At 37.7% G+C, this 24,751-nt stretch overlaps 1 protein-coding gene across 2 annotated transcripts in view; it reads left to right on the top strand.

Annotated features, from left to right (window-relative positions):
• The window catches only part of RELN (reelin), a 517,870-nt gene that overhangs the window by 361,993 nt on the left and 131,126 nt on the right, over positions 1-24,751 (top strand). For both annotated transcript variants that reach the window (NM_173054.3, NM_005045.4), the window contains exons 21-24: positions 15,863-16,055; positions 16,859-16,971; positions 23,183-23,320; positions 24,176-24,362. In NM_173054.3, the coding sequence (NP_774959.1) occupies positions 15,863-16,055; positions 16,859-16,971; positions 23,183-23,320; positions 24,176-24,362 (631 nt within the window). The remainder of the gene's footprint in view (positions 1-15,862; positions 16,056-16,858; positions 16,972-23,182; positions 23,321-24,175; positions 24,363-24,751) is intronic.

Here is a 24,751-nt window from a genome sequence, read left to right as displayed (position 1 = left end):
TGATCTTCTCTGAAGCAAAAAGGAGTTGTCTTGGTTATGAAACAACAGAGAGTATACCCTGGTGGTGATAATGAGACTAGAGAAACACATTAACCACTTTAATAAGGACATGAAAAATGCTTGCTTCTCATTAAAGTGAAACAACATGGAAGATCTCAAACTGTTCCTATTTTCTTAGCCAGTGAGTCAGAATAAACCCCTTTTAGTGACATTGTTTTCTCTCTGCCCCTGTTGAGGAATACATTGTCCAAGATTTAATGTGAATTCACCTTGGGGATGTTTTTCAGAAATACTTGTTACAATATTAAAATTTAAGTGATGATATTGACCAACTATTTATTATAATCTCATAGTCCTAAAACAAGCTGTCATTTTTTAAATGTAAAACCTTTGGAGCATATTGTCTTATTAAGTAAAAATTATTTAAACATATTTAAGTATGCAGTCTCTGCCCTTCAATGACCTTTTTTCTCTCAAGGGAAATTTTGAAATATATATGTGGTCTTACAAATGGCTGGTGTTAAATTAATTATTGTTGGTTTTTCTCAGCTGGTTGTTCATTTGGTTCTCATTTTCTAACTCATGACTTTCCATGAGCATAGACTGTCGTTACTCAGAGTGTTCTTCAGGGAAAACTTGGACAATTGCTTTTTCATTAGAAGAACTACAGTCAGTATGCTACAAATCACTTTCCAGTATGTCATCCTAGAGCACTTTTTTCCAGTGGAGAAATGAATTGCTTTGAATTCTTTGAATACTTTCTTCCATACATAGTATCTGAACTCAGAACTTCTGTCTGCTTTAGGTTCTAATATTCCTTAAAACCTCTTACATATACTTTAAGATCAGTAAGGGAAAAATTCTAATTGAAGTTTATTAAATATTGCATCTAATACTATTAGTGATAATACCAAGGGAACATTAACATTCCTCTGCCCCATCTAATAAACCAGCTAGATACAACAGGTTTGAAGGAAATTGCTGTCGTATTAAATATAGAGTTTGGGTTTTAAAATGTGTACAGTTGAGGCCAGGCACAGTGGCTTGTGCACTTTGGAGGCCAAGGTGGGCGGATCACCTGAGGCCAGGAATTCAAAGACCAGCCTGGCCAACATGGTAAAACGCCATCTCTACTGAAAATACACAAACTAGCCGAGCGTGGTGACACATGCCTGTAATCCCAGCTATTTGGGAGGTTGAGGCACAAGAATCGCTTGAATCCAGGAGGCAGAAGTTGCAGTGAGCCGAGATCATGCCAATGCACTCCAGCCTGGGTGACAGAGCAAGACTCTGTCTCTAAATAAATATATAAGTGTACAATTGAGAGAGAATAGTTGTTGTAGCATTTAGAATTGGCAATTGTTTTTAGGAAATATGGTGTGGTAGAAACATAGGCTTTGAGGTCGTAGGCCTGATTTCAAATTCTCACACTGCCACTTAGAAGCTTGTAAAATTAAAGCCAGATAATTTTAACTAAAGAGGAATTTTGAGAAGTATATATTTTGATGTAGCTGCTTTAGGAAGTTTGCATCAAAGCAACTTTATCAAAAGAGGAAATAACTGAGTTTTGTTAGTAATGTATGACAAACATCCCTGACTTCTAGCTCCACCCAGAATTTCTACCCATTCATCCCATCTTTGTCTTTCATCCCATTCATGAGCTAGTGCCATCCCTAACCCTTACTCCAACTCTAACCACTGCCCTATATCTGAGCTTCACTCCATTGCCAGCCCCTAATAATGAACTATTAGTTGGGCATAGAGTGAGAACACCAGTCTTGCACATTCTTTTATAATTTCTAGAAGGTGACATATTTTAATGATTTCTTTTTCGAATTACCAAACCTGTTCCCATACCAATCAAAACAGTAACATCAAAAGGCCACATATTCAAGGAAATTTATTTAGCCTCTTTGAGCCTGAGTGGTTTTTTTTTCTTTGCATGTTATCTTTTTTAATTTTTTTCTTTATTTCTTCTAAAAAAAGGGGGGATACATGTGAACCTGAGGTTTTCATCTGTAAAATGGGAGCAATGATACTTACTCTCAAAATTGTCGTAAAGATTAAATGAGATCATAGATAGCAAATACCTACCATGAGCCTGCCATTTCCATTCCCTTCACTGTCTCAATGAAAGGAAGAAAACTGGTATATATAAGGTCCACATAATGAGCAACTTTTTTGAATTTTAGAAGCTAACAGACGTTATTTTGCCTGAGCAATACAAAAGAGCATTCTCTGAAATTTAAAGAGATCAAAAAAGAAATGTTAAATAAAAGCTTTATTGTATAAACTAGATTTGGTTGAGGGAGAAGGTTGAAGCATTGTGCAACAGAAAGCTCATAGTGGTGTACTTATTTTTGCCAGTACTTTCCTATCTAAATGCCAATCACCATCACTACACAGATGGATTACATTCTAGCAACACTGAATATGTTATCATAGAAAGTATTTTGTGAATGGTGAGTGATTAGGTTACTAGGAAATCCCATACCTGAAGGATCCTAAAAGCCTGTTTATCTCATAATGTAATTTAAACACAGTTCATTTGCAATAAAAAGGTAGAAAAAAGTACTATGACTCTACTAATAATTAAAGCAAGAATTAAGATAAGGAAAGCTATAGTTTTTGTTTATCATTAATGGTGCTTGAGGAACAGCAGATATAACTAAAAGATTTAAAGATGGATACCTGTAGAAATGTTCGAAGGGCCTCTTGGGTACTTTCATGGGCATAAAAGACAGAAGGTACTCATTCCTTATGTCTAATTTTATTTTTTTTAATTAAAGCTTTTTTTTTAAAACACAAGTAAATCACTGGTACTAGTCATCCGTTGGTCATTTTTTAGAGAAAGAAATTTCCTAAAGTAGTGAAAGTACAAAGAAAGTAAAAGAGCAACATGAAAAAAGTGAAATCAGCTGTGAATTACAAAAGGCATGAGGAGGCCAGGCACGGTGGCTCACACCTGTCATCCCAATGGGAGGCCGAGGCGGGTGGATCACCTGAGGTCAGGAGTTCGAGACCAGCCTGGCCAACCTGGTGAAATCCCGTCTCTACTAAAAATACAAAAAGTTAGCAGGGCCTGGTGGCGGACGCCTGTAATCCCAGCTACTTGGGAGGCTGAGGCAGAAGAATCACTTGAACCTGGGAGGCAGAGGTTGCAGTGAGCCGAGATCATGCCATCGCACTCCAGCCTGGGCAACAAGAGTAAAACTCCGACTTAAAAAAAAAGTAGAGTGGGACATGAGGAAAAAAGGGTAACATTGAGTGGTATGTGACGATGTGGTGGGAGGATCTTTGAAGCCTGATTTTCCACACCAGCCCCAGGTGGCGTGATCAGCCCGAGAGAGTAGGAAGCTAGAGGTGTAAAATGAAGAGAACAGTTGCAGTGTGGGTGGCCCAAGTCAAAGGGAATTGACAAATGCTACATGTTCAGGACATTTTAAAAGTATATGTTCATATTTCATGGGGTATTTATGAGCATGAACAAGAAAAAATTATTTGTATATTTTATGAGAAGCAGCAGTCACCCAGGCAAAAATCCCAGATTAAAAAGGATCCTAAAAGCCTGTTTATCTCATAAGTTAAATACAGTTCATTTAGCATAAGAGCTAGAAAATAGTACTGTGGCTTATTAACAATTAACCAGTAATTTAGTATTATATTATTATATAATAATGTGACAGAACTGAATGATAGGTGGAATTTTAAGTTACAAAAGATGGGTTATTTGTTAAGGTACGTGTAGGTTATAAGGACCATCAGGAATCCACAATAATGTGTAGTAATGGGTAACTCAAAGAATTTTCCAAAATGACCTGGAAAATGACCATCAGAGCTCATGCTGCACAAACCTGCTTCTGTAGGGACATTCAGGCCCCAGAAGGATCTGCACACAGTTAGCAAGCATTATACCACACATTTTAAAATGAGATCTACCTCTCCTTCTGCTACCTTTTGGTTAATTTATTGAAATAGGAATATGTGTTTGCAGAGGTTTGAATCAGAATCTTTACTACATGCAGATCTTTATTCCTTCAGACCAATCTTGGGAAACTAGTCAGTGTTTGCCTGATACTAATGTAAGGATTGTGTTGTTGGTAAACATGAGCAAAGGAGGAGTCAGATTAGTGCCTAAATGCAATATTAGATAGCTGTATTCCTTGGTTTACAAGGAAAAAAATTACTGACAATCTTTTATAAAATGAATCAACCTATAGAATAACAGCCAAGTAAATTTTGTTAGGATTTTCCTTTCACGAAACATTAACCTGTAGCTTATACAGAAATTTTGTCTTTTAAATAGTTTATTAGCAAGCTTAGAGTATTCTTGGAATTGTTTCTTACAAAGACTCTTAAAAAGAGCATTAAATCAACTAAAATTGTACTGCTGAAGGAAGTCAGTCCGGGTGAGATGGCTCCCAGGAGCCACCTCAGCGACCATTTCACAGTAAATGATTGTCTAGGAAGCTTAGCAGATAGATAGGTAAATACATTGAGTGGCAAATGGAAAAGTCACTTCCTATTATTCTCAACAGCTGTGAAGAGTATTCTCAGTATTGAAGACTTTCAGTGCCTCTATAAAATGGCTAACATAATGGAATAGATTTATAAGTGAATTTCTAAGCTAGAGCCTATTTATTTAGCTTTTGCACCATGAGGATTTCATTACCTGAAGTTTTTCATTTATTGATAGACTAATTTATACATTCAGCTATTTATTGATTGATTTACAAGCACTATTTGTACTAAAAGTGTAGCAATTAGTGTTGGAGACGAAGATAGAAAGGCCCTTTGCTTGTGGACCTTACTTCTAGAGGGAAATAACAAGTATTCAAATTCATAATAATATTCCAGATAATATTCCAGACCGTGATAAGTGCTGTTAGGGTAAGAGAAATGGGGTTTTATGTGGCAGAAGTGGAGAGTGGAGCTATTTTAGGTAAGAGGGTTAGGGAAGCCCCCTTGGGAGGCATTAGAGTCTAGAATAATGAAAGAAACAACTATGTAAAAGTATGGAAAAAGAGCTTTGCAGGCAGAGGGAACAGCAAGGCAGATACCCTGAGGCAGCCAAGAAACTAGATCATATAGCTTCATAGGACAATATAAAGATTCTGGATTTTACTCTAGTGTTACAGGAATCCAGCAAATAATTTGGAGCAGGGGAGTGATGTAATCTTCCTTATGTTTAAAAAATATTTGTGGTTGCCTTGTGGAGAATAGGAGTAGAGGATAATAGAAGGAGCAGTAGAAGGAGCTCAGCTAGGATGCTAATAATGTCATCTGCATGTTCTTAGGATAGGATGGTGGCAGTGGATGAATGGACTATTTGAAGATATATATTAGAGGATGTAGTAATGATCAGGACCTGCCTAAGGGATGAATTTAATGGCCATATTCTAAAACTTATGCCATGTTGATGTCCACGGGGTTAATTTTTAAGTCATGTATTTCTCCAAAGTTAGAGTTCTCTAAAAATTTTCATTTGGACTGAATAGCTGAGTGAGGTTTCAGAAGTAAGGAGACAGACCACTGAACAAATTAATGGCAAGAAAAGTCTACATTTGATGGTTTAGATTTGTGCTTCTTTCTGGTTTGTTGAAACAGAAATTTAGCAGTCTGAGACAATTATTTTTATTTTTATTTTTTTGAGACAGAGTCTCACACTGTTGCCCAGGCTGGAGTGCAGTGTCACGATCTCAGCTCACTACAACCTCTGCCTCCCAGGTTCAAGTGATTCTCGTGCCTCAGCCACCTGAGTAGCTGGAATTACAGGCGCCTGCCACCACACATGGCTTATTTTTGTATTTTTAGTAGAAACAAGGTTTCGCCATGTTGCCCAAGGTGGTCTCAAACTCCTGGCCTCAAGTGATCCACCTGCCTCTGCCTCCCAAAGTGCTCAGATCACAAGCATGAGCCACTGCACCCAGCCTAGTCTGAGACAGTTATTTTCTATGGACAGTGGTTCACAAAATCTTGATAGGCCTTGGTTGAGCCATGTGGGTCAGCCTCTGCAGCCTCCTCCCCTGCCCCCTGCCTTGCTGCCTTTCACTCAGTCTATTCCAGTCACACTGCACTTCCTTCTCTCTACACCAACAAGCCAAGCTCTTTCCTCTCCCAGCACCTTTGTGTGAGCTGTGCCTCTGCCTAGGAACCTCTTCCATTACTCCTTTTGGGCACAGTGCTTGCAGCCTCCAAGCTTTCCAGGAGACTGGGAAAAGTCCAAGGGCTGCAAAAATGTGTATTATCTAAAAAATATGAGAAGAAACTCACCAAACTAAAATGAATATATTTTAATTAAATGTCTACAAAATACAACATTAGGCTAACTTCATTAATTGCTAAATTTAATATTCATAAAATTTCAAGATGGAAATAATTTTTTGGTCAGATTCCTGAGTATGCTGAGAAATCACAGCCAAAAGTATATTAAATGCATTACTAGTAGCCAAATAAAATTTAAAGGCAATGTTAAAAAATCCATTTGACTACTTTTTGCAACCTAAAATACTTATATTTAACATGAGACATAGGTGCATTTTAATATGTTTGCTGTGAAGTGAGATGAAATTTCAAAATTAAAAGTATCGAGGTCCTACAAAAGTCTTAAAATGGCTCTGTTTGAGTATGCTCTAAATAAGGCACGTGGTTGCACAGAGTTGGAAGGAAAAAGAAAGATAATTTCAAAGATTCCTCGTGTATTTTCTCTCTCCCCTCCATGCTAAATGTTTTCAGCCAGGGCTGTCAGGCCTGACTACATCAACCAGTGTGTTCTGTTCTAAAAGGAAGTGATGTTCAAGGAAATAGAGGAGACAGAAAAGAACTGAGAGAGACAGGAGTGTGTTGAAAGGGCAAATCCTAATGAGAAGTGGTATAAATGTGGATCAGGTTAGGCCAGGCGCGGTGGCTCACACCTGTAATCCCAGCACTTTGGGAGGCTGAGGCGGGCAGATCACTTGAGGTCAGGAGTTCAAGACCAGCCTGGCCAACATGATGGAACCTCATCTCTACTAAAAATACAGAAATTAGCTGGGTGTAGTGGTGCACATCTGTAATCCCAGCTACTTGGGAGGCTGAGGCAGGAGAATCGTTTGAACCCAGGAGGCAGAGGCTGCAGTGAGCCAAGATCGTGCCACTGTTACTCCAGCCTGGGCGACAGACGAGACTCTATCTCAAAAAAAAAAAAAAAATGTGGATCGGGTGAGTTATCTTCAACCAAAATCGAATCTGGAGATAATGTGGATGCAACATAAGAAAAAGAGGAGTCAGGGAGTTATGGATAGCCTGAGATCGGAGATGAATTGAAGTTGTGTTAGTCCATTCTCACGCTGCTGATGAAGACATACCTGAGACTGGACAATTTATAAAGAAAAAGAGATTTAATGGACTCACAGTTCCACGTGACTGAGGAGGCCTCACAATCATGGCAGAAGGCAAAAGGCACGTCTTACATGGCAGCAGATGAGACAAAATGAGAGTCAAGCAAAAGCCTTATAAAATCATCAGTTCTCATGAGACTTACCCACTACCATGAGAACAGTATGGGTGAACCCATCCCCATCATTCAGTTATCTCCCACTGGATCCCTCCCACAACACGTAGGAATTATGGGCACCACAATGCAAGATGAGATTTGGGTGGGGCACAGCAAAACCTTATCAAAAGTAGTGGACAGAAGCAGGAGGAGCTGGAAACAGCTAAGGCTCTTCTGATCACCTTCATTCCCACATTAGTGGCAGGGAAGTGTTGCCCCTGACAACTCATCTACAAACACACACACACACACACAAACACACATATACACACACTCTTACTTTCCTGACAAAAGATGGGCGGGCACCACAAGAGCTGTGAGGATTGATTCTTCCCTGGGTGCATGGTCTCCTGCAGTCGGCCCCTCTCTGACCCTTGGTCTCCCTCTTTCCCTTCTTCTCTGGGGTCCACAGCCCATGCTGTGCTTTGCACTGACTCCCCCTCCAGCAGGCACCTAGCAGAGGTTTGCTTTTTTGTCCACAGATTGCTCCAGCTGACGCGCATTTTCTAAAAATGCGGTGACGTGGGCAAAATGAAGACTCATTAACATAAACTTGACAGAAATCTTTGAAACCATGATCTCACCAACAAATTTCTATAAACTTTAAAACTATATATTTGTTAAAGTTTTTGGAATTAGCTGCTGGCATCTGGAATGTTGGGTAAATTGGCCTAGTTCCACAGGAGACACAGGCAAGTGGCCGGGCTGAAAATGGAATCTGGACTTCAACAGAAGGGGTGGAGGAGCTGCTCTCTGTGGCTTCTGAAAGAATCTCCCGTCCCACAGCAGCACTGCTGTAAGTGCACATAGCCCAGTTAGAAGAAGAGACAGCATTCATTTGTGGTCATCATGGCCATTGTGTACAGACAACCTGAACCTCACAGTGGACACATTCCCCCCAATTCTATCTCCCATGAAGTTATCTGACCCTTGAGAATAAACTGCCACTAAGCACCCAATTTGATGTGAGTTTTCATTGGATAGCATCTTTCTGTAAATGCTGAATTTTTTTTTTTTTAATTTGAGAGGGAGTCTCACTCTGTCGCCCAGGCTGGAGTGCAGTGGCGCAATCTCAGCTCACTGCAAGCTGGTTTCATGCCATTCTCCTGCCTCAGCCTCCCAAGTAGCTGGGACTACAGGTGCCCGCCACCATGCCTGGCTAATTTTGGTTTTTTGTGTTTTTAGTAGAGACTGGGTTTCACCATGTTAGCCAGGATGGTTTCGATCTCCTGACCTCGTGATCTGCCCACCTCGGCCTCCCAAAGTGCTGGGATTACAGGTGTGAGCCACCACACCCTGCCAGTGTAAATACTTAATTAACAGCAGCCAAGAAACTCAACTTATGCTTTTTACTAGCCTAAAAGTTTATCTAGCTTTAAGATTCTAGCCCTGAATTGAATAACTTATGTGTAAATTTCCAAACTGAGAGAATGGGAATGGGAATGAAAAAGCTGAAGAATATACACTGTGAACTTTAAATAGGAAAGGTAAAGATAAGCAAAACGACACAGGTGCTAAGAACAAAAAGTATAAAAAGAGCCTGAAACAGATGCTGAGAAGTACATGTATTCCAAAAGATTTTTGATTCCTGACATAACCCAAAAATCTTAACTAGATAAATAAGAAGTTGTCTATCCACTTAGAAATCCATAAAGACATTTTAAATGAAGTATTGGGTAAATACATGCCAAAATGCATTGGTAGAGAGATTCCAAATTTGTTTGGAGCTGTAGCTTCTGCCTCTTCTACACAGAAGGAGAGGCTAGAGACGAGTAACAGGTGGTGCTATCAGAGGGAGAAGCCCATGGGAGGGTAAAATTAGTGTCTCCACACATTGAATACCATAGAATGGGGACCATCATGGAAAACCTGTTCAAGTTACAAACGGAAAATTACAACCACAATAATTTAGAGTGTTATTTTAATTTTCTGCTCTAGTCCTTGATGGAGCAAGCAAACAAAAAATAAGTGAGAACATAGACAAATTAAGAAGGTAATTGTCTTAGTTCATTTGTGTTCCTATAAAGATTACCCGAGGCTGGGTAATTTGTAAAGAAAAGAGGTTTATTTGGCTCACAGTTCTGCAGACTGTACAAGAAGTACAGTGCCGACATTTGCCTGTGGTGAGGGATTCAGGCTGCTTCCACTCCTGGCAGAAGGAGAAGGGGAGCCAGTGGGTACAGAGATGACATGGTGACAGAGGAAGCAGGAGAGAGGGCAGGGAGGTACCAGGCTGTTTCTAAGAACCAGCTCTCAGGGAAACTAATAAAGCAAGAACTCACTCATTACCTCAAGGACAGTACCAAGCCATTCATGAAAGATCCACCGCTATGGCCCAAACATCTCCCATTAGGCCCCCTCTTCAGCATTAGGGAACAAATTTCAAAATGAGATTTGGAGGGACAAACATCCAAACTATAGCAGTAATTAACAGGCAAGATTTAGTAGATAAAGATTGTACCCTACAAATAAAATGTATATATACACACATGTATATATATAATAAATGTGTATATATATATCTGAAAGGAATATATATATATGAAAGGAATATATATACACACATATATATACATATATCTACACATATATACACATATATGCATATATATACACACACACATATATATAGATTCCTTTCAGATGTCCAATAGACATTTATGAAAATATCATGAACTAGGCTTAGAGACAGTCTCAAAAGATACCAATAAAACATGACACCAGAATCAGGGACTATAACAGTCACATATTCCACTACTTAAAAGTTTTAAACTTGTGTTTCAGGAGGACAAACCTCCTTAAAGAAACAAAACATTACAACAAATTTGAAGCAAGGGAATATTTTCAACACATATGACAGACTATATATCCTCAATGTATAAAGAACTCTTACAAATCAGTAAGTAAAAATAAACCCACTTTAAAAATGGGCAAAGTCCATGAAAAGGCTTCACACACACACACTGTATATGTAGCCAATAAACATGAATAGCTTCTAAACTTCTTTAATAATCAAAAAATGTAGATTAAGGGAGTGTAGGCATAAAGTGACCAAAATAAAAAGTTCAGTATTGACAAGTAGTAAGCAGTGGCACCTCAGTCATTGTTGATGTTCTTGGTAAATGTAACTTGGTGCAATCTTTTTGGAGGGCAGCTTGACAATAAGTGTCAACTTTTTAAGTGTGTATTTGCTTTAACGAAGGAATCTGCTTTTGGGAATTTATCCCAAGAAAATAATTGGACAAGTGCACAAAGATATACAAGGATGTATATTATAGAAGCATTTCTTATAATAGTAAAAAGTGAAAACAACCTCACCAAATTTTTATAATTGAAGATTGGCTTGATTCATTAAAAATCAAAATGTCTCACCATATTTTGTCAATATAGAAAGATGGCAATTAAATGTTGTAAAAAGGAGTAAAGCATATTTATTATGATTTCATAATTTTTTAAAAAAAAGTATGTGTGTGTACACATGAGAAAAACTGTCTGGAAGTATTTTTACCAAAACATAACTGTACATTTTGTGGTCATCTCTAGAAGGTGGAATTGCCCATTTTTACCTTTTAAAAAATGCTGCTTTTATATTATCGGGTTGTTTTTTCCAATAAGTATACAATTTCTATAATCCACTAAAATAATATGGTTGTTTGTTTTGAAATGTAATACCATAGAAATAACAAGTGAGTTAAAATGCTGCCTTTAAGCCCACAACATCAACAAGTTTTTCCGCCTAATCTAGTAAACGTTTCTTTGATGATTACAAGAACATAACCAATAAAAGAATGATATCAGAGAGGCGTACATTCATTCACCTCTTCTTCTTCAGATGAATATAACTTCTGAATGGTATCAAAACAAAAACAACATTGTATGGCTCTTCTGTTTCTCTAGAAATAAGCTCTGCAGAGCTGTTTTTTCTGTGGGACCCTTGAAAATAATAGAATGTTGCTTAGATTTCTAAGAAATGCAAATATGGATGCATTAGCTTCTCTTATGGCACATGAATAGTGAGATTTCATCCATATTGACTTATATACTAAACCGCTCTTAAAGAGATGGGCTCAGTTGCAAAAAATGGCTCAGTTCCCTAGGTAGCTTGGCTCTTTGACATGAATTTGCTTTTAAGGAACTTTGTGGCTCAAGTATTCTACCACTTACTTTGGCTATGTGTGTCTGCCTTTCATATAAAAGAGCCTTTTTTCTGGAGATGGGAAAGAGGCTCTGGGAAGAATGCAGAAACTGATTTACTTAAGTGAAGATAACCTCAAAACCTTGTCGGTATTCATTACAGCATTTAAGTAACTATAGTTTTGTTAAACTTCCCTACTCCCCAGTTGAGGGACCTTACTCACATGCTCATTTTATTTAACAAACATTCTTTGGGAGCCTTTGATACACAGGACATAGTAGAAAGGACTTCAAAGGAGAAACCAGAAAGCCTAGTTTCTAGCTTTTTAGTAACTGTGTGACCCTGAGGCTAGCAACTCAGCTTCTCTATTTTCCTTCTCCATAACACAATGTTAAGGATCCCTGATGGTCTCCCAGAGGGTCTTGACTCAAAGGTCAAGTGAGATAATCCAGCTGTTAGAAAATCACGATGTCCAAAACAATGTGCTTCTGTGAGTTGTAGGCAAGGTTCTGAGGGCTTTAGGGGATGCAGAGATGAATAAGGTATGATCCCTCCCTGTGGACAGGCTTCCGACCTGATCAAAAAACAGATCCTCAGCAATACATGAGATTAAGAAAGGAGGGCGAGGCAAAGGAGCTGTAGTATGGACTAAGCAGAGAACTGTGGAGACTCAAATTCTACTAAGCTCTTATCCATTTGGCCAGTGTCATGGCCTACTAGCCTTCTTGGAGGTGGGAATAAAGAAGGCTAGAAAGGTAATCCTGTCCTAAGTGGAGTTATCCCCATTCTCTCATTAAATCTTGCAATTAGATGTAGGAGCTTTATTTTTGAGGCACCCTTGCAAGTCAATATAAATAAAGCCAAGCCTCCTGATTCCCAATGCCTTCTCTCTCCAGAATTTCTCCCCAAAATGCTGATGTGGGCTGTTCTTTTCTGTTCCTATGATTGTAACAGAAAAGAAGTTCAGCTTCATGTTTGCCTTTATAAATATGTCTTGATTTAGACAAGCAGCAAAGAGGAGCAGTTTTGTAAGTTAAAGGATCACAGTCTGTGAAATTCATAGTCTGTGAAAAAAAACAGACCCAGTATCACTGCCAGTCTTGAATAAACCAGAAACAATCAAGTAGACTAACGCTATGAATGGTCTGGAGTTTAAAGTGCTTTTCAGTGTTATTTTGCTTCAGATTAAGGCATCAGGATAGATATCATATGGTACCAGGAAGTATGACAGATGTATCACTTAGAAATGCGTTCAGCTCTAGATTACAACAAACACAAGAAAAGACTGACCATGACATAGATGAAAGTAAAGAGGCTTATCTGTCATTTGTAACAAGCAGTCCTAGAATAGGCAGTCCTGGGCTTGTGAGCACCTTAACAAGGACACTGGGGACCCAGGCTCTCTCACTTTTCTGTTCCACAGTCTCAGCAGAGAGGTCTTTATCTAATAATGTTCCATTATTGTCACAAGATGGCTGCTGCCCCCTAGAGAGGAAAGATGACCATAGGAGCAACAGGGAAAAGGATATGGCAGCCAATTCCATTGATTCCCTTTTAAAACACTTATAATGAAAGCCAAATGGATAAATTCACCTTCCACCTTTTACTTATATCTCATTGGTGAGAACCCACTGCTGGACACATGGCCACCCCTAGACCAATCACTGGATAGTGACTAAAAGGAAGAGGCTGTGACTGGCAGCTGGATCAGTCCACACCAAAGCATTTGCAATAGGAAATGGGAGACACCAAATAACTCTAGATTCCTATTCTACCAGTTGAACAGATACAGTTGCTAAGCAAAAATTTGGTTATCATTGTTTAACTGCCTTCATTTTGCTTATTTAATCTATTATTTTACGTAATTTTTATCTTGTTTCTTTCTTGGTGTCTTGGCACCTTTAAAATCTGTTATCAGCTATTCCAAAATAGCTCACAGAGCACATGACTCTCCTCAGCATTGAATACTTCCTCTCTTCAGCCAATTTCGTAGTTACATTTGTAATCATGCAAACATTAGGTGCAGGCAATATTTATAAAACACAGCATTTCCTTCTGTTTCTCTATAGAATTATGAGGACACGAAACCATCTCAGAAGGGAGAAATTTACAAGATGCTGATTGTAAAAATAATCTTAAGTTATTTCAGAAATGCTCAGGTGGGGAAATACTGTTCATGGTGTGAGTGAGAAAGCATTGTTGGCTCTGTCATTTGCAGACCCTTCAGCCCATGTACTACCAGGCACTGTTAGGCTTTCTCCCCTGATGCCCAGGAGACTGGTGTATCTTTAAAGCAAACAATTTAAATGAAGCCTAGTTGGCTGCCTCTAAGTATCTTCCTCATAAAGGATTTTAGAGAGACATTTAACCCTTGAAGCTAAAAGCAATGCCTATTTCTTACAGAGATAAGCATTTGGGATTTCTTTTGCCTACTTAAAAGACCCTAGGAGCAGTATAGACAAGTGTGTGCCTCTATGGCTTACTATGATTTTTATTCTGTGTTGATTTCTTTTATTTTTCCAATATTGCTAAAAATTGCATTCTACAGCTTGATATTTTCCAGATTGCATCCTGTGGATCCAAACACATAACAGCAATCATGGTTTTATATTTTTAACATCAGAGTATCATTGCATAGTAACTGAAAGTTAGTGATTTGTAAATTCACTGTAAACAAAACAAAAATTAAAAAAATTATTCCAAACTGCAGTGTTTTTTCTCTCCCAATCTTACAGTAACAGAAAAACAAAGATATAGTGTCTTTGGTTAAGAAGCTTTAGAGTCAGGCAAAGCTGATTTCCCATTGAGTATCCCATTTACTAGCCCCATTTTCTCATCTGTTAAAAAGAAATAATTATTCCTACTACACAGAGTTACTGAAAGATGGAACTAAGGAAAGTAATGTGGGTATTGTGTCTTAGGACATGGCCGAGATTCCACAAATGGTAGACATCTTTAACAATAATAATAAACAAGTTGTGGCATTTGCTGTCTCTTAATGGATTTGCAAGACTGCTTCAGAGTAGCAGAAACAAGTACTGTGATGGACAAACTTTAGTGTGATTGACCCTGGGAATATTTACATTGACTCATGTAACTACAATATAATATGTCTATATTTTAATCTTCTATGATAAATTACAAGCTCCTGAGCAGTTTTCTCTTAAAAAATTAATTTGCCTGCCTTCAAACAATTTGTAATTATGTAGTACTTAATTGGGACCCGTGACGTGAATTTTACTGATTTGAGACACAACCATTAAAACTATATTATGATGTTTTCAGTAAAGGCCATTTGAAAAATAAGGAAAACAAAAAGAAAATTGTAAATCGCAAATTTCCTGCCACCAAACACAGCTACTGCAAACATTCTGGTGAATTTCCTTCATGCATAATTTTATGGCTTTTTAAGACTTATTTCAGGCTGGGCGCGGTGGCTCATGCCTATAATCCCAGCACCTTGGGAGGCCAAGATGGGCAGATCACCTGAGGTCGGGAGTTCGAGACCACCCTGACCAACATGGAGAAACACTGTCTCTACTAAAAATACAAAATTAGCCGGGCATGGTGGCACATGCCTGTAATCCCAGCTACTAGGGAGGCTGAGGCAGGAGAATCACTTGAACCAGGGGGGCGGAGGTTGCGGTGAGCCAAGATCAAAACTCCGTCTCAAAAAAAAAAAAAAGGCTTATTTAATCATATACATTTTAATGTGATTATATTATCTATAAGTATTTGAAAGATAGATAATGTTCCGTCAAGTGCTCTATCATTTTACTTAAGCCTTCCATTTTGACATTGACATTGTTACCAATTACTATTAGCAGTAATCCTGTAATACTTTTCATATTTTATAAAAACTGTCTCTAAATTTAAAATTATTTTCTCAGGATAGATTTCAAGAAGTGAGATTAATGAGTCAAAAGGTTTATATTCATGAGCAATATATGAGTGGGTACCCAATTTTAGGTACATTTGACAACTGTAGATGTTAACTTTTTTAAAAAAGTTTCATCTTTGAAAGCTTGTTTCAAATTGCATTTATTAGATTGACCGAAATCCATTCTAGAATTTGGCAAGGTTTAAACAAGTAAAATGAAATTATTTTGGTATATAGTGTGAAGTGAAGACTTTAATTTTTCTCTAATACATTGTGTTTAGAATTTTCTGATTTCCATCTCTGTCTCTTTCAGTTTTACAGGAGATTCTAAACTTGCCTCAAGTATGCGCTATGTGGAAACACAATCAATGCAGATAGGAGCATCCTATATGATTCAGTTCAGTTTGGTGATGGGATGTGGCCAGAAATACACCCCACACATGGACAACCAGGTGAAGCTGGAGTACTCAACCAACCACGGCCTTACCTGGCACCTCGTCCAAGAAGTAAGTCTAGTTTCCTTAAACCTTGTAACAGGTAACCTTCTGCCTTTTACCTAGGAAGCCAAAAAAAAAAAAAATTACAGTTCTAGAAGTTTAGGTTTGGTTGAAAAGAAACAGTGTTATTTAATATTTGTAACTTAGAATTAACATAAAGTCAGCAAAGGATTACAAAAATGCCACATTCTTCATGACAGATATTAAAGAATAATTGGAAATAAAAAAGAAATGAAAATAACTTCCAAAACTGGCTACCCTCAAATGATGTTTTGAGTATTATTTTCTCTATCCCTCTTTCTTTATAAATGTGTCCCTTTCTTTATAAATGTGTCTTCATCTGTCTCTACCTATAGGTAGACCATATTAAGAATGTGGTATTTCTTGTCTTTAGAAACAAAGAAGAAATATATAGATCTGGGAATAAAATTCATACATGTCTTAGCAATCTGCCATTGCAACAAATGGATAAATATCATAGTGAATAAACTAATTTTTACCAAATGCCAGTGTTACGATAACAGGCCTAAAAACAGAATCCTAATCCGTCTCTGTTTGTATGTGCGAGTATTGGGAAATACTCAATTTCTTTATGGCACCTCATTTGAAATTATTTCTTACATAATTTTAAGACTTTCTATGAAGTTTTAGCTTCATGGAAAGAAAAATCATGGATTGTTTCCATATCACAAATAGTTAAGATTATGACATTAGATTTCTCTGAGGTCTTTTTCACTTACAGTGGGTGAGTAGACATATTTCACCTGAGGAAAACAGAAGCTGGGTTTGATTTGTGCCTAACTTTCTTTCAGGAATGCCTTCCAAGTATGCCAAGTTGTCAGGAATTTACATCAGCAAGTATTTACCATGCCAGTGAGTTTACACAGTGGAGGAGAGTCATAGTGCTTCTTCCCCAGAAAACTTGGTGAGATGACATCTTTAGATATGGCTGTCACTTTAACTTTGACTATCCCTTTTGATTCAATTCTGTCTCTATTGATTCAAGTATGACTTGAATATGAAGGCAAGTTAAGCACAATAGCATGATGTTTATTCTTTTTATTTTATTATCAAAAGACCAAAACCTTTCATTTATGTGAATGATATTTGAAAAAGAGAGCTAATAACAAATATGAAAATGTGGTTTCCAAACTGTCCTAGCCTTCTCTGACTTTCCTACTTGCCCCAGCTTTTTCTTTTTATGGGAGAACTCAATGAGTCGGTTACTTTCAGTTTGACATACAAAAAGGAATATAGGAATCTAGAAATTCAAGTAATTTGGATTGCAAAGCTGTTTTCTCGTTGCAAACCCTTACTTTTGTATATCAAAAGCTTAATATACACCCTTTCTCTATTCATGTTTTTTCAGTAACACTAAAAATTATCCCCCAGGAAACAGAGGCTTCAGTAAACTAGGAAGAAAGTTAAACATTTGATAGTGTGAAAGAAAAAAGCACAATAGTTTTTTCCCAAATATTACCTTGTTTTGTGTTAGATTGATCACTCAAAAAGATGTAATATTTGGGGAAAAAATTAAACGATTTCTGGTTCAGGATGAAATCACCCAAAGAAAAATCCTTAGACTAGAAATTAGAAGGCCTGAATTCTCAGTATAGCTCTACCAATGATTAATTAATCACGTGATCTTAACCATTCACAACCTCTTCAAGGCCAGGTCCTTGTAAGTATAATGAAAAGGTTTAATTACATGATCTTACAGGTCCCTCCAGTCCTGTAGTTCTAAGATTCTGTAATTTGTGCAGAAGAAAAAGCATAAAAGAGATAAGTATTATATTATTCTGTAGTATCTGCCTAACAATCGCTCTTTTGTAAAAAGAAAATTACTAAATAAACCTTCTCAGATTATTTTATATAAAAGTTAGACTCTACACAAAAACAATTGGTTAGATACCAACCTAGAGTTATTTTTATGCCTTTAGTTGAAGATTGAATTCCTGCATTATGTAAAAATGCCTATTTGATTATTTTGAAGGATGCATTATTATGTCAGTTGGAATACAATGCTTGAAATTTGATTTCCACAGATTTTTCTGTTTCCAACTGTGAGACATTTCCTAGATACTCTACTAATGCTTTGTATAACAAGTTGCTACTTTCTCTAGCATTCTACTTTTTTATGTCTACTGCTGGGAATATAATCAAGACTTTTATTTAATTTCAATGGTATTCCAAGCATATATGTCAAATGTATGCAAAACAGCACTTCAAACAATGGAAATACTGGTCATACTCAAAGCAGAGCTACTGAGGTTTATTTTTTCATTATTTTATTTCCCTCACATAAAAATTGTTTTTTACTCATTGACATGTGAAGCACACTTTCAAAATTATGATGGTAAAATACTACTGATAGTGTATTTTTTTTTTTTTTTTTTTGAGACAGAGTCTTGCTCTGTCACCCAGGCTGGAGTGCAGTGGCGCGACCTTGGCTCATTGCAGCCTTCATTTCCCGGGTTCAAGTGATTCACCTGCCTCAGCCTCCCAAGCAGCTGGGACTACAGGCATGCCCCATTACACCCAGCTAATTTTTGTATTTTTAGTAGAGATGGGGTTTTGTCATGTTGGCCAGGCTGGTCTTGAACTCCTGACCTCAGGTGATCCACCCACCTTGACCTCCCAAAATGCTGAAATTATAGGCATGACCCACCGCGCCTAGCCTAATAGTATATTTTAGAGATGTCTTTTTGTCCCTAGAAACATTATGAACTATTGTTCTTATTTAATGTAGCTTAGGCAAATTCAGAAAGTGTTGTCCTTATCAGAAAAGCCTTTGCAGGTTCTTTGACACTCAAATTGTGTGCTACATTATTATTTTCTAGCTCAAAAGATAGCAACACCAAGCTGGAATTTTTAGTATAGTCAGAAAAGGTTAATTATCTTCAGTGTTAAACACACACTGAAAGGAAATATATTAACCCATAAGCGTTTAAATTCCCTGGAGTACCTGGCAGGTAGTAGTTGTGCTTATTGGACATTGGGGAATTAAACAGAATTTTAACTTGATGAGCCTCAATGTGCTAAAGAGATGTTTTATTATAAAGTATCTCTTTTAATAAATAGTTAATATTATGATGTTAGATAAAGTTTCTACTAAATTATTCCCCGGACCATTTACCTTTAAGTATATGTAACAAGTAATTTAATTCTGCTTTTCCAAATTTCCTTCAAAGCCCTGGAAAAAAAAAAGTGAAAATATTTTTTAAAAAACAACCCAGCAGAATATTTATCTTAACATTCCTACTGACTAATATTTAAACTAAACATTATTGCTACATTTCAAAAAAATCATATTCTACTAGTTATTGTCATTGTTTTTGGATCTATAATGCTTAAAAGCTCTGCCATAAAAATAAAGTATATTTACATTCCTTGGAAGTCTTGATAACTTTATTTATTTTGATAATTTTAAACCTTTGCAAATAGCAGGTTTTTCTCAAGCATTGGGGAAAGGGAATGCAGTTTGTAGCAGTAATCTTTTTTTGGCCAAATCTTTGTTCTGCCGTTTTGATTTAAACATATGCAATTATAAATTGAATACATAAAAGCAAATGTGGTCCCTGCATTATCACATATTTGTTAACTTTGGGAAATGTGCTAGATAGGGCAACTTAGAATGAAAATACTGAATGTATGTACCTGCGTAGAGAAATTACATTGTGTATGAACATTTGTTACCCAATGAAAATTAATTTTGTTTTTATGAGAGACATTTACATAAGAACATGGCCTGATGAGACCCAAACAGCTATCAGTCGCTGACTTCATAAACAAATCAACACCTAATGAGTGAATGAGTTTCAGAATAATTGGGTAAATGTAATTACAGGAACTCTGAAGGTGGAAAATACAATTTAGTCAGCCTTCATTTACCTTGATCCCTCAGGTAACATAACTATGAAGAGATGATTCAATACTGTTTCATTTCAGTCTTCAAGTTATATGGGAAGGAAAAATCAAATAAAGGAGTCAAGTTTTGTTGCTTTGGGGAATCCGGAGAGTTTAGATTTTAAATGCAAGTCAACTTCATTTCATGACCCACACAACAGTAGTTCTGCCTTCAGACTCAATCCAAAGTGGACAAGATTTTCTTCCTAAGATTACTTAGTTTTGAGAGGTAGAGAAAGAAAAACTTGGCAATTTAAATATTTGTATTGAGGGAGAGACACAGCAATGATACCGCTGCAGATCAGAGACTTTGCACCTTGTCTTCTCACGTGTGACAGCTGGAGATTGCTCACACAACTAATTTTTTTTCTCAATAAAACTGAAGCCAATATTCAATCTCTTTTTCTTGCCTTTTCTCTTAATTAACATTAGCACATTAAACTGTGGATTGTGATTTTATTTTTTTATTATTATACTTTAAGTTTTAGGGTACATGTGCACAACGTGCAGGTTTGTTACATATGTATACATGTGCCATGTTGGTGTGCTGCACCCATTAACTCATCATTTAACATTAGGTATATCTCCTAATGGTATCCCTCCCCCCACCCCCCACCCCACAAATGTCCAACAACGATAGACTGGATTAAGAAAATATGGTACATATATACCATGGAATACTATGCAGCCATAAAAAATGATGAGTTCGTGTCCTTTGTAGGGACATGGATGAAACTGGAAACCATTATTCTCAGCAAACTATCGCAAGGACAAAAAACCAAACACCGCATGTTCTTACTCATAGGTGGGAACTGAATAATGAGAACACATGGACACAGGAAGGGGAACATCACATACCGGATTGTGGTTTTAAGTGGAATTGTCCCCTTGAAGTTTTGTGTCCTAAGGAAATAATATCTTTTTTAAAAGTTCATAAGATGCATATAAGGATTAATTTACTTAGGAAAACAATTTAGAATGTGTCTGCATGTGACTGTTTAGAAACATAAACTATGTAACCTAAGACAAGTTTCTGAAACCCTTCCCCATGCCCATTTTCACATTTGGAAGTAAAAAAATCTCAAATTAATGGGTGCCATGGGTTTTTTATAGGCATGTAACTGTAAAGAAAATAAATTGTCACTTGGTCAACGTACCAGCAGAGGAATCATTATATTTGAGAGCTGGAAGGGATCTTAGAAATTAGTTTGCCTAAACCTTTTATTTGAGAGGTGAGGAACTACAAGCCCCTGAAGGCTTATATTTCTCACTAAAGGTCACACAGCTGCTAAGTTGCAGAACCAGGGTCCTGGGGGCCTTGTCCCCCAACTACTAGTACATTCTTCATTCCGTCACCTACAGAAGCCATAAGCAGGCTGCCCTTTACTGACCTGTTCATCCACTCACTGACTTACTGTTTTAGCAAACTTTTTTGGACACCTACTTTATTCTGTTCCTGTGCAAACTATGGAGACTAAAGATATCCCTATCCCCAAAGAGCTCACAATCTAGTCACCCGTGGCCGTGGACTTGACTCAGATTAAAATCTATCTTAAAAGAGTAAACTCAGCTTTCCTTTTCAGGATGACAAGGTGCATAAGTCTTATTTACGTCTATTCTGTAGTGCTCTCTGCTCTAAGATAATGCATCTACTTTTATAGTAGGCTTTTCTAAAAACCATTTCTTAGTGGGACTGTGAATATTGTGATGGCTGTTTGCTTACAAATATAAACTGATTACCATAGAGGAGGTGGTGCATCTGTCCCATCGTATGTTCCATGACAAGCACTGATATGCAGCAACCCTGTGTCTACTGGATGCGTCTCTGTGAATCCTGGTATTATCCTACTAGGAATGAAAATACAACCTATTAGTCACAGATCATTGATAAAATAAACAATAAAGGCTTAGTCGGAATTTTAACAGTCTGTTATGTACTTAGGGAGTACTTAATATGTGGGTAATTGATGCAATAGACTTTAATGGATCATTTAGATCATTAAGATCAAGGGTATCTGTATATAGTGTGCTTGGGAAAGGTTCCTTCAGTGGAACTGAGCATACACAGTAATTTTGCAAATCATGTTTTGTTTCTTTGTTTCATTTAGCCCTTTGACCAAAAGAACCACAGGTCCCTGAAAATTCCTACAGGTGAAAAATATGCTATAATTTTAAAAGAATGTTTTATAGCAGTCAATGAATAGACAGACACCTTCTTGACATTACTCTCAAAATATCCACTTCTCTGGACTTTATATTTCGTTTCAGTGAATTAAGGGCCCAAGTGTTTCTGTCTGTGTAATGAACTGTTTAATTTTCATCCCCACTTAAGATCAGTTTATCCATGAAACTCAGGCAAGTTAGTGTTTCAGAAATAAGTAGAATTTAGCATCCAGATATTCTTCTTTGTAATATAGTACATTGTGGTATGTCCCCTCAACCCCAAAACAATACCCCCAAACAAAACTTTTGTCTTATATTACGAACTAGCTGAAAATGTTCTAATAACTACTGTATTTATTGTAAGAAACTCTATTACTCTAAGGTTAAACATCTTACATTTTTGTCTATAAAAGGCTCAGTTGGCAGGGCGCGGTGGCTTACGCCTGTAATCCCAACACTTTGGGAGGCCAAGGCGGGTGGATTATCTGAGGTCAGGAGTTCAAGAGCAGCCTGGCCAACATGGTGAAACCCTGTCTCTACTAAAAATACAAAAATTAGCCAGGCATGTTGGTGTGTGCCTGCAATCCCAGCTATTTGGGAGGCTGAGGCAAGATAATGGCTTGAACCCAGGAGGCGGATGTTGCAGTGAGCCGAGATCGCACCATTGCAATCCAGCCTGGGCAACAGAGTGAGACTCTGTCTCAAAAAAAAAAAAAAAAGAAAGATAGGTTCAGTTTAGTAGATGTCTTTATTTTTTAATGTTCTTTCTTAGTACTTTTTCTAGCAACAAATCTGTGCAACCAACAAAATCTGATACTGTGTTTTTCTTTAAAACATCTCAAATTAAGATTGAATTGCATCCAATAGACAGATTTCTCTTTAACTTTCTTTCATGATAGAATTGTTGCATTGGACAATAATTGAGTGGAAATTAAAGAAAAATGATGCCAGCTAAGCTCAAGTTCCAGAAAGTTAGTTAGCTGAAAGATTTTGGACTCTGACATTCTTTGCCAATGTCACTGCTGAAAGGTTGAAACCGTTTTTGTTATACTATACCGTGTTTCTAGGTCCAGTGCTACCCGTTTCCGCTGGAGCCAGAGCTATTACACAGCTCAAGACGAGTGGGCTTTGGACAGCATTTACATTGGGCAGCAGTGCCCCAACATGTGCAGTGGGCATGGCTCATGCGATCATGGCATATGCAGGTATGTGCACCAGAAAGCACGATGAGGTCCATGCTTCTCAAGATTTGTGGCTGGAGGATACCACAGCAGTTGTCATCAGAGTGACATGGATAGACCGATAAATAATGACATAGCCAAAAGAAACAAGTCCTCCTTTCTGTTTGTATTTTAGATGTAAAAGCTATTGTTACATTAAAATAAGTATGAAACCATATATTCTAAATCTCAAACTCTAACCTCAAGACAAGGCCTCCTGAGCTTCAACGTCAGAGTTTATTAAAAGAGCCTTGCCATTGTTTCCCTTTTCATCCACTGAGAATCTTAGAGCACTAGTCAAACCCTGCTGCATGCCCTCTTACACCACTTCACCAGAAGTTCAAGGTTGTATACATGGGGAGATGGTGATTATTGCTAATGAGGACAGAGGAACACACTTGAATACCTAAAGACTCTAAAAAAGGCATAGTTTAATCAGAAAGAGGAACTATAAAATGTTGCCTGAATTATATGTTGGTTGAGCAGACAGACATTTATATGTGATTTTTTAAGGCAATAGGGAAATCCCACTATCCCTCAGCCCCCCACAAACACACACTCACATAAGCACACACACCACTGTCCTTCGTAAATACTTGATGCCCAAATTCTACCCTTACAGCATTATTTCTTTTAAGAAAAGATTCTATCAGTTTTAAGGGGAGTATGAAAAACTGAGGGTTGTTACTACCGCATACCCAGATTAACACTGTAGGGAAGAATCTAGTGTGAATGATAAGACCTGAGCAAAAGTAAGACATGGGAAATGGTTGAGGTCAGAGGGCCATTGCATTGGCAGGTGGGCCTGTAACCTGCCTACTCAGCCCTGCTCTCTCATAGGTGTGACCAGGGGTACCAAGGCACTGAATGCCACCCAGAAGCTGCCCTTCCGTCCACAATTATGTCAGATTTTGAGAACCAGAATGGCTGGGAGTCTGACTGGCAAGAAGTTATTGGGGGAGAAATTGTAAAACCAGAACAAGGGTGTGGTGTCATCTCTTCTGGATCATCTCTGTACTTCAGCAAGGTATGACCAACAGCTGGGATAAGTCATCGGGGCAATGGCTAGTTTAATATGAGACTCTGAATTCCAAATGTACAAATATGAAGTGGTTCTATTGTTCCCCACGTTCCCCGCTTTTGAGTGGGCTCTATCAAATTCCTATTCCTTAGCTATGTCTTGGGAAATTCTTGTTGTTCTTTTTATTACTCTTTTTGGTTACTAAAAAATCAGGTTAAGCCAGTTTAAAACTTCTACCCTCCTGTACCTGATTTAAATACCATTACTTTCCTTTCCTTCATTTCCAGCCAGGCTTGTGTATTGAGGAAGTTTGCGTAGGGAAGGCTTTTGGTCTCTTCTCACCCTGGCCTTTGGAGGGTGTGTCAGTGTGAGGCCTGGGGGCAACGAGGGGATGA

Source organism: Homo sapiens, chromosome 7 (genome assembly GCF_000001405.40).
Source record: "Homo sapiens chromosome 7, GRCh38.p14 Primary Assembly".
In the NCBI taxonomy this organism is placed as follows: domain Eukaryota; kingdom Metazoa; phylum Chordata; class Mammalia; order Primates; family Hominidae; genus Homo; species Homo sapiens.
Note: the sequence above shows the minus strand (reverse complement) of the source record. Positions and strands in the feature narration are given on the sequence as shown.